Source organism: Homo sapiens, chromosome 18 (genome assembly GCF_000001405.40).
Source record: "Homo sapiens chromosome 18, GRCh38.p14 Primary Assembly".
NCBI lineage: Eukaryota > Metazoa > Chordata > Mammalia > Primates > Hominidae > Homo > Homo sapiens.
In genome coordinates, this window is record NC_000018.10 from 35084121 (window position 1) to 35099513 (window position 15393).

Below are 15393 nucleotides of genomic sequence, written 5' to 3' on the forward strand. Positions count from 1 at the left end.
AAAATTAGTCCGGTGTGGTGGCACACACCTGTAATCCCAGCTACTTGGGAGGCTGAGGCAGGAGAATCACTTGAATCTGGGAGGTGGAGGTTGCAGTGAGGCAAGATTGTGCCACTGCACTCCAGCCTGGGTGACAGAGTGAGACTCCATCTCAAAAAAAAATAATAAATAAAATAACATTACTTTTTAAAAAAGTATTCTTGGTTCTTGTTGAAAGCAGGTTATAAACAGAGGATACTGGCACCTTTAACTGCAGTTTGGTGCAGGCCTATAAGATTCTTAAAAAGGTTTTAAGATCATATGAATTAATGAAAAACTGAGGGCATTTATCAGATAAAAGACCAATCACATGATTTGACAAGGCCTTTTAATTAATCTGCTGATGCTCTTAAAAATCTGCCTCTCTGCCTGAATGATTATTACTAGCTTATTTCTTTTCCTGTACAAGAAAAGAGATGAAAATGTCCTTCAACAGTTTATTCTGTGTGTTCAAGGGAAAAGATGGGGTGCTTTTCAGCACTCTCTTCAGTTCACATAAGCCGCCTCTGTGTCTGTAGGAGTTGAAATCTTCCTGCTGGCTATTACTCCTTTTCCTCTACATGGGATCAGTTTGAAAGCTACTTGTCTTTGGACTTATTTACAATAGGAATAAAAAGCTTCTGACAATGTCAGGTAGTGGAGAGAAGCAGGAAGCTCAGCTGAGGACCATGGGAATTCAAGGGAGCAATCTCAGTTGAAACCGGATTTCTGAACTCTTGATCTTTATTTTGGCATTTGTGGCTCGGGGCAGGTAAGGTAAACAGTGTCCAAAGTTCCCCTTAACAGACTGAAATAATACTGTGGTAACTGAAGCTTTCAAGCTGCTCCTCCATGCCAGGAATGTGAAGGATGCCTATGAAAACAACAAAAAGCTACTACTAATTTAATCAGATTTTTGTTAGATTAGAATGATACAGTTGAACTTTGGGATTTTAAATTCCTTTAAAATGTTAATATTTCAAAGCATTATTTCACAATTGCCATTAAACTCCTTACAGCATGTATTTCTGTAGGTAGAGAGATTTCTGCTGATGTGCTGGAAATATGTAACCTTGTATTTTGCAGCCTCACTTTCCTCTTTAGTAAAGCCCTGATTTCCCAAAGGGGAATGCTTCCTTCAACACGAGGTTTGGGCTTAGGTAATAGTTGCAGTTCTGCAGGAACATCAGTTCAAGGAATGATGAGCTGAATGCCAAAATAAAGCTGGGATGACTTTATGATTATTGCGTATGAACAATCTAATATGAAGGAGATTTTTCATTGCTAATATTCAACTACTGGATAGAAAATATGGCTATGTTACTGAGTTTGTTAATGTCAAGATCTCAAAGAGAAGTACATGGAAGATAGGGTCACCAGAACTGAATCTGGAAAGGGTGTGTGTGCCCCCAGGAATATTCCACCAGAGGCAGCAGTGTTATTAGTAAGTCTCCTCTTATATTAACTATGACAAAAGCCAGTGATGGCTAGAAGCAAGAGCACTGGCAAACATCTTGGTCATATGAAGATGAGCATCATTGTCTCCTAATTAGCAGAAATATCAAGTATCCCTTAAAAGAGAACTTGGTGACAGACTGAGAATTAGAAAATCATCTAATTTTAGAGACCAGAGATCAGTCCAACACTGACGTTTTGCACATAAGAATACTGTTGGCTTAGCAGAGTGTGACGACATGTCACTGTTCATTCAAGATGAGAAGGCTCAGATCCAAAGGCCAACATAGTTTTCTGTTTCCTGCCTTCCCATTCTTTGTTGATACTAGCTTGAGATAATAAGCTTTTTTACAAATCATTTACCTGTAATGATTCACATCATGAAGAGTATGATCACATGGATGTGTCCAATTAATTGAGGTTGTTGTGCTTTTCTTCTAACCTTTCATCAGTACCAAATAAGATTATGGAAAGTGAAAAGTTGTAACTAAATCCCTCAGTGATATAGGCATCTCTGTATAATAGTTCCTTGGCCTGTGAGGAAATCAGATGGGCAATTTGAGTAGCTGTTTGTGGCAGAACCCAATCTGGCTTGATGTGTTTTTCCACAGATTGTGTTGCATTTCTGGAAAAGTGCTGTGAGACTTTTTTTGACACCAATAAGATATATATATACATGTATATATGAGATACATATATAGATATGTATCTCATATATATGGGCGATCAATAAGATTATATATAGAGATGATGTTTATTTTTATATACACATTGTATATATGTAAAATGAAATTCTTATGAGTGTATATATACTGAAATGGAAAGTCATGACATTGGAGCAGATTAATGATCTATCAAGCCCAAGATTCTACTATAAATAGAAAAGGTATAGCTGATACTTCTAACACCAGTCCAAACGATTTATATGTTCTCTTGCATTTTCCTTTATATTTCCTTTTAGAATTATCTATAAAAATCTATAAAAATTTCTAAAACTTAATCTATAAAAATTTCCAAACACTCTTTGAACCTTTCAATTTTTACATATAATTTCCTAAAAGCAGCATAGAAAAAAGGAATGTTTTTCTTAAAAAAAAAAAATTGAAGTTCAGATCAGAGTTTAAATTCCACTCTGCAATTTCTTAGCTGGGTGACTTTCTGAGCCTTGTTCCCATACCTGTAAAATATGGGAATGATAATAAAAATACTTACCTCTTAAGGATACTATGGGATTCAGAATGTTTAAAATACATATGAAAACGCTAACAGATTTTACCCAAATGTGGGTGTTTTTATGTCTTATGTTTCTTGCGTAATATATTCCATAAATTTGTTATTAGAGTAATATTTCCTTTTATCTGAAAATTTCCACTTTAAAAATGTCCATTTATTCTGATATTACTCTATGGTTGAAATCCTGGGATCTGGTGAAAATGAAATTGTCTTAGGCTTTTCATGATTTTATAGACTTAAATCATACACTCCTGAATCCTTTGAGTATGAATGTTCATTTTTGAGCTCTGCCATCTTCATACAGCCTCCCAGCTGTTCATTTTTTATTCCTGTCCTCACACTTGTCAGCTTCATTATGTCAATTTTGATGTATAACAACTGAAACCAATCTTAGGGCTGCAGGGGTACAGACAGTGTAGAAAGAATAGTTTTTTCCCCCCTACTTATTTCCAGATCATTTCAGAATCTTGTAGACCTTCACAATTGCAGCAGCACCTTGAGCTTATGGGCTCAGAGTATATCCCATCATAATTAACCTCTTAGTAGGCACAGCATCCTACAATTTGGGTTGTGTTACTTGAATGTGTTACCCTATGCTTAGCTTTTAAAGCTTATCTTTTACTTTTCTGCAGACTTGGTCTCTAGGGTCATTCTTATATTTGAGTGGCTTTAAAAAATTTTATTTATACCTCGTCAATTCTTAAAAGAATTTTTAGCAACTCTTCTCATAATATCTCTTTGGGGAGTTTGGCAACATAAGAATTTTACTGTTTACCAGCCCTTGTTGTGGTTCAACTGCTATGCAGATCTTCATTCATTAGCCAGATATTTATTGAAACCCACTTATGCCAGGTACTGTATTAAATGTTTAGATACATAGGGGACCAAGACAAATAAGGCACAAGTATTCTTGAAACTTATATTGCAGCGAGGGAAAAAATAAGCCACAAACTCTCTTAGTCTGTTTTATGCTGCTATAACAGAATACTTCAAACTGGGTAATTTATAATGAACAGTTATTTATTGTCTTCCTCTTCTGGAGGCTAAGAAGTCCAAGATCAGGGAACCAGCATCTGGCAAAGGTCTTCATGCTGCGTCATTCCATGGCAGAAATGCAAGAGACAATAGGGGAGAGAACAAGAGCCAAATTTGCCCTTTTATAACGAATTGCTTTCCCAAGAATGGCATTCATCCATTTCAGGAGGGCTGAACCCTCATGGACTGCTTACCTCTTAGTGGTCCTACCTCTTAATTACCATCACAATGGCAAATAAATTTCAACATGCATTTTGGAGGGGATATCCAAACCATAGCACCAACATAAGAGTTAATACAATGCCAACATAAGAGTTAATAAAACAGGATGAGGTGAAAAAGAGTGCTTAGAAGGCTACTTCATGTGGCATAGTAAGGGAGGACCTCTCTGAGGAGATGACATATAAGCTTTCATCTGAATGTCAAGAAGGTCACCATGTGAAGTTCTAGATGAAACTGTGTAAAGGTCCTAATTCAGGAGCAAATCTGAAGTGTTCTAGGAACAGCAAGGAAGCCAGCATGAAGGGAGCTTCCTAAAAGGAAGTTAGACAAGGGAGAAATAGACAGAGGCCTGATAACAGGGTATTTTAAGCCAGGGAAGGAATTTGGATTTTATGATAGTTTCATAGAAAACCACTGTGATATTCTTAGCAGGAGAGGGATGTGATCTGAATAAGGGTAACCGTGGCATAATGAGATAAAATTGTGTTTATTCAAAATGTACCTCACATTATTGCAAGGGTAGTTAAATGGCACAAAAGTCTGTGTATCTGTTGATGAGGAACATTCTGATTTGTGGCTGGGTAAGACTTCCAGGACACTGGCAATGATTCCTGAATATTTCAGTTTGTTGACATCTATTTTTATCTGATTAAAGAAGAAAATATAGAATTTCAAGAGCAAAAGAGGTGGTCAATAAGGCCAAATACTATTAAGAGGTTGAGTAGGATGCAGAAAGAAAAACAACTGTTTGATTTGATAGCAGAGAAGCTTTTGATGACCTTGACCAGAACATGGTGAGGTTGGAAGACAATTGAATTTGTATTAAATTGAATTGGATGTCAGATGAAACAATGAAAACAGAGACCATTTGAAGTTTTACTGTGAAGAGGAGGAGATAGTACATAGCTCAAGGATGATGTGGGATCAAGAAACTTTGGTTTTATTTTGTCAAAGTTGAATGATACTGGAGCATATTTGCAGGATTTAGGAATAACATATGCAGGAAGAATTTTGCATTGCAGGAGAGAATGAGGATAGCAGCAGGAATGACTCAGTGAGTAAGAGGAGACGTGACCCAGAGCACAAGTAGAGAGTTGAACTTTGATAGGAACTATGCAGTTTCTCAAAGAACGTGAGGTATAAATCGTCATGACCTTGGATTATGCAGTGGTTTTTGGTTATAACAACAAAAGCACAAGTGACAAAAGAATGAATAGCTAAATTGGATTTTATTGAAATATAAAACATTTTTGCTTCAAATGATACCATCAAGAAAGTGAAAAAACAGTCCACAGAATGGGAGAAAATATTTACAAATCATATATCTGATAAGGAAATTATATCTAGAATATAGAAAGGATTCTTACAATTCAACAATAAAAAAGCAACCCATTTAAGAAACAAGCAAAGAATGTGCATAGACATTCCTCCAAAGAAGACATACAAATGGCCTAAAAAGCACAAGGAAAAGATGCTCTAAGTCATTAGTCATAGGGAAATCAAAGCAAAACCACAGTGACATACCACTTCACATCCATTAGGATGGTTAGAATCAAAACGACAGACAAGTGGTGATGAAGATGTGGAGCCCTCATCTGTTGCTGGTAGAAATATAAAATAGTACACCTGCTTTGGAAAACAGTGTGATAGTTTTTCAAATTGTTAAACAGAGTTACCACATGACCCAGCAATTCCAATCCTAGGTATACTGCCAAGAGAATTGAAAACATGTCCATGAAAAAACTTGTACACAACTGTTTGTAGCATCATTACTCAAAATAGTCCAAACATAAAAGCAATCTAGATGTTCATTAATGAATGGATCAGTAAAATGTGGTAATTCATAAAATGGAATATTATTTGCTGTAAAGAAAAAAAATGAAGTTCTGATACATGGAACAACATGGATAAACCTTGAGAAGAGTTTGCTGAGTGAAAGAAACCAGACACAAAGGCCACATGTTATATGATTCTATTTATATGAATTGTCCAGAATAGTCAGATCCATAGAGACAGAAAATAGATTAGTGGTTGCCAGGGCCTGGAGGGAGGAGAGATCATAGAGAGCGACTGCTAATGAGTAAGAAGGGTTTTTTTTTGGCAGTAATAAATATATGCTGGAATTAAATAGTGGCAATGGATGAACAATTCTGTGAGTATGTTAAAAACCACTGAATTTTACATTTCAAAAGGTTGAACTTTAGGGTATATGAATTATATCCTAGCTTTACTAGGATAAGATCTGGAACAAGACAAGGATGTCCATTTTAACCACTTCTATTCAACATTGTTCTGGAAGTCCTAGCCAGAGTAATTAGACAGGAGAAAGGAATGAAAGGCATCCAAATTAGAAAGGAGGAACTCAGGGCCGGGCATGGTGGCTCACGCGTGTAATCCCAGCACTTTGGGAGTCCAAGGCAGGAAGATCACCTGAGGTCAGGAGTTTGAGACCAGCCTGGCCAACATGGTGAAACCCTGTCTCCACTAAAAATACAAAAATGAGCCAGTTGTGGTGGTGGGTGCCTGTAGTCCCAGCTACTCAGGAGGCTGAGGCAGAAGAATCGCTTCAGCTTGGGAGGCAGAGGTTGCAGTGAGCCAAGATTGCGCCACTGCACTCCAGCCTGGGAGACAGAGCAAGATTCGGTCTCAAAAAAAAAAAAAAAGAAAAAGAAAAAGAAAAAAAATAGGAGGAAGTCAAATTGTTTGCAGACAGCATGATTATGTATTTATATCCCTAAAAACTCAATTTTAAAAAACTGTTAGAACTAATAAACAAATTTTGTTGCAGGATACAAAATCAGCGTAACAAAAGTCAGCAGCGTTTCTGTATGCTGATACCAAACTATCTGAAAAATTAAGGAAGCAATCCCACTTATAATCACTACCAAAAAAATGAGACACCTAAGAATAAACTTAGCGAAGGAGCTGAAAGATTTCTACAATGGAAACATATAAAACATTGATGAAAGAAATTGAAGAGGACATAAATAAATGGAAAGCCATGCCATGTTTATGGATTGGAAAAATCAATATTGTTAAAAAGTCCATACAGGTTAAGTATCTCTAATCCAAAAATCATAATGCTTCAAGATCTGAAATTGTTTTAGTTCTGACATACCACAAGTGAAAAATCCACACCTAATCTCATGTGACAGTTCACAGGCAAAACACATTCAAACTTGTTTTATGCACAAAATTATTAAAAATACTGTATAAAATTACCTTCAGGGTATGTGTATAAGGTGTATATGAAGCATAAACGATTTTCATGTGTAGACTTGGGTCCTGTCTCCTAGATATCTCATTATATGTATGCAGATATTCCCAAATCTTAAAGTATCTGAAATCTGAAAACACTTCTAGTCCAAAGCATTTTGGATAAGGTGTACTTAACCTATACTACCCAAAGCCATCTATAGATCCAGTGCAATTCCTGCAAAAAATACCAATGGCATTCTTCACAGAAAGAGAAAAAGATAATTTTAAAGTTCACATGGAACCACAAAAGACCCTGAATAGCCAAAGCGATACTGAACAAAAAGAACAATGCTGGAGGGGACTGCAGCAGATGGGTGGGCTCCTTTGACTCCACTTTGCCTCCTTGGCAATGAGTGGGCTATCCCACTCTCCCACGGCATCTGTATTTAAAAAAAAAAAAAATACTGAGGCATCACATCGCCTGACTTCAAAATACACTACAGAGCTGTAGTAGCCAAAATAACATCATACTGGCATGATGTATTAGCCTATTCTTGCATTGCTATACAGAAATATCTGAGACTGGGTAATGTATTAATATTAAGAAAAGAGGCTTAATTGGCTCACAGTTCTGCAGGCTGTACATATTGGCTTCTGCTTCTGGGGAGGCCTCAGCAAGCTTCCAGTCATGGCAGAAGGCCAAGGGAAAGCAGGCACATCTTACGTGGCTGGAGCAGGAGCAAGAGAGAGATGTGGGAGTTGCTTCACACTTGCTACACACTTTTAAACAACCAGATTTCACAAGAACTCACTGCTTACTCACTATCATAAGAACAGCACTGAGGGGATAGTGATCACCCATTCATGAGAAACTGGCCCCATGACCCAGTCACCTCCCACCAGGCCCCACCTCCAAAATTGGGGATTACAATTGAACATGAGATGTGGGTGGGGACGCAGATCCAAACCATATCACCTGAAAATAGATACATAGAACAATCCAACAGAATAGAGCACACAGAAGTAAATCCACACGTTTGTAGCCAACTGATTTTTGACCACAGTGCCAGGAACATAGGGAAAGGACAGTCTCTTCATAAATGATGCTAAGAAATCTGGCTATCCATGTGCAGAAGAATTAAACTAGATCCCTATCTCTTACCACATACAAAAATCAACTCAAAATGGGCTAAAGACTTAAGTGAAAGACCTAAAATGATAAAACTACTAGAAGAAAACATAGGGGAAATACTTCATGACATTGATCTGGGCAAAGATTTTTTGGGTAAGACCTTAAAAGCACAGCTAACAAAAGCAAAAATAGACAAATAGGATTATATCGAACAAAAAAACTCCTTCACAGCAAAGGAAACAGTCAGCAGAATGAAAAGACAACCTACAGAATGGAAGAAAATATGTGCAAACTATTCATCTGGCAAGGGGCTAATATAAGGAACTCAACTCAGTAGAAAAAAGAACTAAATAAAAAATGGGCAAAAGACTTGGTTAGACATTTCTCAAAAGAAAACATACAAATGGCCACAGGTATAGGAGAAAATGTTCAACGTCACTAATCATCAAGGAAATACAGTGGGAACCACAGTGAGACATCACCTCACCCCGATTAGAATGGCTATTATCAAAAAGAGGCCAGGCGCAGTGGCTCATGCCTGTAATCCCAGCACTTTGGGAGGCTGAGGTGGGCAGATCACTTGAGGTCGGTAGTTCAAGACCAGCCTGGCTAACATGGTAAAACCCCATCTCTTCTACAAATACAAAAATTACCTGGGCATGCTGGCGGGTGCCTGTAGTCCCAGTTACTGGGGAGATTGAGGCATGAGAATCACTTGAACCTGGGAGGTGGACGTTGCAGTGAGCCGAGATCATGACACTGCACTCCAGGTTAGGAGACAGAGCAAGACCCTGTCTCAAAAAAAAAAAAAAAAAAAAAAAAAAAGGAATGGCTATTATCAAAAAGGCAAAAAAAATTGTTGGCATGGATTTGGAGAAAGGAGAACTCTCATACACTGTTGGTAGAAATGTGAATTAGTACAGCCATTATAAAAAACAATATGGAGGCGCCTCAAAACACTAAAAATAGAACTACCGTATGATCCAGCAATCCCACGACTGGATATATAGCCAAAGGAAATTAAATCAGTATGCCCAAGAGATATCTGCACTCATGTTTATTGTAGCACTGTTGACAATAACCAAGAAATGGAATCAACCTTAGTGTCCATCAGTGTGATTAATAGATGTTTAAAAAGTGGTATAAATACACAACGAAATACTGTTTAGTCATATAAAAAAATGAAATCTTGTCATTTGTGGCCACATGGATGAACGTGGAGGACGTTATGTTCGGTGAAATAAGCCAGGCACAGAAAGACAAATACTGCATGATCTTCCTCATGTGGAATCTGACAGAGTTGATCTCATAGAAATAGAGAGTAGAATAATGATTTCCAGAGACTGGAAAGGGGAAAGCAGAGGGAGGAATGGAGAGAGATTGGTCAGTGGGTACAAAGTTACAGTTAGGTAGGAGGAATAAGCTCTGGCATTCTGTTATACAGTATGGTGACTATGGTTAACAATATTGTGTTGTATATTTCATATTCCCCTTGCTCTCAAATCCCAGGAGTGTACCCTATTTAGAGCTAACATCTCCCTGACTTATATTGACCTTTCTCAAGACAAGAGTTTTTCAAATCATAGCATTATTTATAATTGAGAAAAATTGGAAAACAAGCACAAGGTTAAATAAGCAATGGTGAAATACCAAGTAAATATTTTGCAGCCACTTGGGAAAAAAATAGCGACTTTGAATGTTCTCACCACAAAGAAATGATAAATGTGTGAGGTGATGGATATGCCAAATACCCTGATTTGATCATTACACAATGTATATATGTATTAAAAGATCACACTTGTACCCCATAATGTATATAATTATTTATCAAAAACAAAATACAAATTAATAAGTTACCTGTTTTTGAAAGCTATTATTTTTATATGCCATGAATAACAAATTCAAAAATATAATGGAAAGAATAAATGGCATGATAAAATTTAGGAAAATTTTGAGAATAAGAGGAGGGGAAATTATTCTATAGATAGTAATACATGTTATAGAGTTTTAAATAAGAATGTGGAACTGCCATGGAGACAAAAAAGGCAATTTAAAATCTAGAAAGAGATCTAAGTACATGTATTAGGAAGGCAATAGATAGTAAAAATAGTGCTTCTCATTGGTGGGGAACGAATAGATTATTAAGTTGTGATGTTCAACACCTAGCTAACTTTATCAGTTAGTGGTTTAGGTTGAAAATAGTAGAAGTTAATCCTGGCAGGCTTAAGTAGAAGAACAATCTATAGGAAAAATGTTGGGTAGCTCAGAGTCAATGGAAAGCCGAGCTCAGAAGATGGACAGGAACCAAAGGATGCTAAGGAGCTGGGAACACAGCCTCCCTTGTGTCACAAGAATAGGATGGCACTGTGCTGCTTTTGCTGCTCAGGACTCTAGACCCCACCACTCTGCCACCACAACTAAACTCTAATGGTCCCTGTGTGTTTATATCATTTCCTCAACTCAGATACTGAGGCAGGATTCAAACACAGAGCCTAGGTCATGGGCCTTCATCCTTATTGTTGTGAGGGAAAGGGATGCCTGGCCACTTTCAGCTTCTGTGGTGGGAGGCAGGGCACTATAGCATCTCCCCAGGTAGTAGGTGTCCAAATCCTGGAGCCAAAAATGACAGATTTCCACCAACATTTGGAATGACTAAAATTAGAACCATACTTTATATCATAGACAAAAATAAATTCCACATGGATTCAGAATTTAAATGTAAAACTTGAGACCATAAAAGTACTTGACAGAAATATGCATATTTATGTATTCTTGGTTCGAGAAAGTTGATAAGCAAGATATAAAAATAAGAAAGCCATTAAAAATATTGATAGAGCATATTAAGTGACTCAGAAAGAGAATTATGATCTGTTGAGTTTCAGAAAGTTTACATTAAAAATGGGTATAATGTGATTACATTTTTAAAACAGGATCACATTTTTAAGAAAATACACACACACACACACACACACACACACACACACACACGCACACACACACTCCTTTCCAAAGAGGATTAGAATGGCATATACCAGAATATTTCGAGTGGTTCTCTGGATGATGACACTAGAGATGATTTTTCCTTCCTTCCCTCACTATATGGAAGAGGGTTTTTTTTTTTTTTCAAAAGCTGTTATTTCTTTTTAAATCTGAAACATGAGGAATTTGGTTGGTTGGTTTGTAAGAGTATATAGTATCTGGGTCTCCATAGATAAATTTTATGCTAAACTCTACAAAAGCGAAAATAACTTCTAAGACCAGGTAATGAGGCAGTTGTGTTTCAACAATCCCATCCATATAAAAATAATGTTAAAGTGGCAATTGGAATTTGCTCCATCTGGCGGTCCTTCAAAAGAAAGAACTGGATAGTGGGTGATGACTCAAAGAATACCCTCCAGATCATGATGTTTCTCTTTCCTCCCCCAGTGTCTTTTTTTTTCCTTTGATTTGTTTTATTTTGTCTTCTCTTTAAGAGAACCCATCTGCTTGACTAGGAACTTACTAGTTAGTATTCAGGGTATGTCATCTAAAGGACACCAGATGCAGAGACTCTAGAGATATTCGTTATGGCCTATGTTTTATCACTTTACGCTCTTACCTACAAAATAGGAGTTGCCCCAGCATTTCATGTTTTAACAACCCTTAGATTCCTGATGTCTTGTTCTCTCTTATCTCAGATTGCTGTCTCAGTAAAGGATGCCTAACCTTTATTTCACATGAGAGACAGAGCAGTTCTTGCTTCCTAAAGTGAGTCACCCAAGTAGAAGGACTGGCTCTTCACAGAAGTCTTGGTAGTGTAAAGGATGAGGGGAGGCACTTCATGTTCCAGAAAGACTGATCATGAGCACATCATAGAGAGAGACCAAGAGATCTGGAGATAGCAAAGAAAGAATGAACCTAAAAATGGTGACTTGTTCCTATTCTTGCCACTTGGTTTTCTTTCTTGTAAAAGAAAAGGAATCATTCTGGCTTCCAGCTTATTTTCCTAAATGCCATTAGCCTATACTAGTAAGAAGATATGAATCAGTAAACACAGCTTGCCAGAATTTCCCAGTTGTAGTGGTCATGTTCTAAGAGCTCTTCATATATTTTTTCAAAAGTCCCCTTTTTCTATGATCATTTCCCCAGGGGGCTCATTGGACATTTCTGTCATGTTTCTTAGTCATAAAGAACATGACTCTGAACTTCTATAGCTTTCAGTATCCATGTCTTCATACTTCATGTTAATATGGAAACCCCATTGCTCTGGACTGGAATTAAATTAGTATTAACTTGGCTTATAACAAAATTTAACAATTAAATTTACCAATTTAATACTTAATAATTAATAAGTATAAGTAATAGGTAATAAGTATAAGTAATAATAGTTAATAAGTATAAGTAATACTTAATACTTAATAAGTAATACTTAATAAGTAATACTTAGTAATACTTAATACTTAAATTGGTATTAATTGACTTGTAGTTTTCACCTGTGTGGGGGTTCTGTAGTTTTCACCTGTGTGGTATTTTGTAAATACCACAGCTATAGATAGAAAACAGCTTGAGCATATGTGTATTTTTTGAGCTACACATTTCATGAGAACTTTTGTAGTTCTCTCATGTTTTCCTCTCTTTTTCCTCTTAAGTTTATTTTGATGACTTGGAGCAGGTGGTAGCCAGGTGGAAGAAAATGTATATTTCTTTTCTCTGGTAGAAGCTAGAAGGAGCTCCTTTTATCCTGGTTTCCTTGGCTTTATAGTGTGAGGTTCTGTTGGTTGGTTGTGGAACCTGGTGATATTCTGATGCATGGAGTACAATACACGGAGTTTAGGGTTGGGAAGTGGCAGGTGCTGTATTGTTGAGGTACAGTCCCTTCCCTCTAGCTCCCAGATCCTGTGGACAAGGAGATATAAGCGCATTGGTAAGAAGGACACACTCTGCTCTGAGTGATGATGGTGCCTGTAAGGACAATCCCCTTCCAGCCTAGCAGTCCTCTACCACATCTGGGTACAGTGAGACTCACTCCAGTACTGTTCTTGTTTCTTTCCAGGAGCGGCCTATTGCCAATTCATGGACATGCTCTTCCCTGGCTGCATTAGTTTGAAGAAAGTAAAATTTCAAGCAAAGCTGGAACATGAATATATTCACAATTTTAAACTTCTGCAAGCATCATTTAAGCGAATGAACGTTGATAAGGTAGGAGACTTGTACCTCCATAAAATGTGTTGTTTTTTCTTAAAATTGTTTTTGTGCATAAATGCAAAAGTCCAGGAGCATACCAATGGGATATATCTTGATATCCCAACAGTAGGCTGGGGTCTGTACCTAGCATAAAGCATCACCCTAAGTTCTTGTATTTTTATGAGGTTTTCATTTCAGATTTTCTAAACTTGTAGCCAGTAGACTAAAAACTAACAGGGCTCACAAATGTTAAAGTGTTATTAGTTAAATTTAGCATTGCAGATGAGAAACTTTTAATGTTTGCCAGATGCCACTGTGGTTCTTTGTATTTTGTTCTTTTGGAGAAACATCATGTCATGGCAGAAACAGCATGGTTTTGAATCCCAGCTTCATGACTTGAGCAAGTTATTTAAATTCTGAGTCTCAGTTTACCCATCTGTACAATGGGACTAAAAACCCCTTATTCATGGTTATGAAGTTGACATGAGAAGCAGTGTCCGGTATAGTGTGTGCGCTCAGATTCTCAATGTCCATAATTTGCCCTTTTTTTCTCCCATGAATTATACTTTTGTCCTGGAGTGGTGCAAATGGCCTGGAGTACTTTTTCTCTCAATAAGGGATTATTGCTAAAACAGTCTCTTTCTGCATGTTTACTGCTATTTAAATACATACTTAATCTATATTCCTTATTTAGGATATATCTCTTAGCATGAATGAGCTTGGAAAGAAATGAATTTTGAATAAGGGAAAAGAGATAAACCAGCAGGGGAGAAATGGAAAACTGTTCTTTGCATAAACAGAGGTAATAAATAGGCTATGGAAATGAAAAATAAAATATCAGGTTATAAAAGACAGAGATTAAAGGAAAGTTTGATAAACTATGTATTTTGTAAGCTAAGGCAATTAATATCTTCTTGACATTCTTATCAATATATTAAGAAAATCCTGACTTCTCATTGTCTTGGAATTTTTATTTCAAAACATACATTCTCTTTAACATCTTAGCCCTTTGGATTATTTCCAACTTTATGTCCTTTGTCATGGTTAATTTCCAATTAGCTCTTTCCATATGTATTTAAAACTAGGGATATATAGGTTCTCCTTACTTTTATAATACCTCTTGTGTCTTTTTCATTCATTTCTCTATACATGCTTCTAGATTAGAAAGAAAAGAAACACCTTTTCATATGTTTATTGATGGAACTTGTCATACATCAAATTAGTGGGCTCCATATCTCTCTAGAAGTATATACACACAGAATGGATGAGCAGTTGTTAAGAATGTTGAAGAAAAAAATTATTGCAGTGGAAGGAGACTGGCCATGATGGCCTTTGTTAGCCTTTCTAGCTTTAGTATGCAGTGATGTGATCCAAAAGTACGGTGAGAGACAGCATTAAGTACCCTCATTCATGTGTGTCATAGCCTGATGGCACAATGGAAAGTTCTATGCTTTTGCTTGCCACCTAGGATTTTGAACTTTTGCCCTGAAGCTTTCATGTTGATAGAGAATGCAGAATTAAGTCCACAGAAGTAAATGCCTTCTTTTAACAGCTAATGTACCACCAGTGTCTAAAACTATTTATAAATGTTCATGTCTGGCAATAGACAAAATATAGTAGTTTGTTAGTTAAAAGCTTTTTATGCTCTAAAAAGCCTCTAAAAAGTTGATTTCTAACAATCAATATCAGCATAAACAAAAATTTTAAACTCAGAAGACATAAAAGTGATTAAATAATACAATTAAAAGTCAATTGAGGCTGAGCACAGTGGCTCACACCTGTAATCCCAACACTTTGGGAGGCCAAGGCGGGAGGGTCACTTGAGGCCAGGAGTTCCAGACCAGCCTGGTCAACATTGTGAGACCCCATCTCTACAAAATTTTTTTTTAATTGCCAGGTGCAGTGGCACATACGTGTAGGCTCAGCTACTCAGGAGG

At 36.9% G+C, this 15393-nt stretch overlaps 1 protein-coding gene across 5 annotated transcripts in view; it reads left to right on the top strand.

The window, feature by feature from the left end:
• Window positions 1–15393, top strand: part of MAPRE2 (microtubule associated protein RP/EB family member 2) — a 166444-nt gene that overhangs the window by 107094 nt on the left and 43957 nt on the right. For all 5 annotated transcript variants that reach the window (NR_046177.2, NM_001143826.3, NM_001143827.3 and 2 more), the window contains one exon: window positions 13326–13471. Coding sequence is in view for 4 of the 5 variants with exons in the window: in NM_001143826.3 (NP_001137298.1) it covers window positions 13326–13471 (146 nt within the window). In the remaining variant the exon portion in view is untranslated. The remainder of the gene's footprint in view (window positions 1–13325; window positions 13472–15393) is intronic.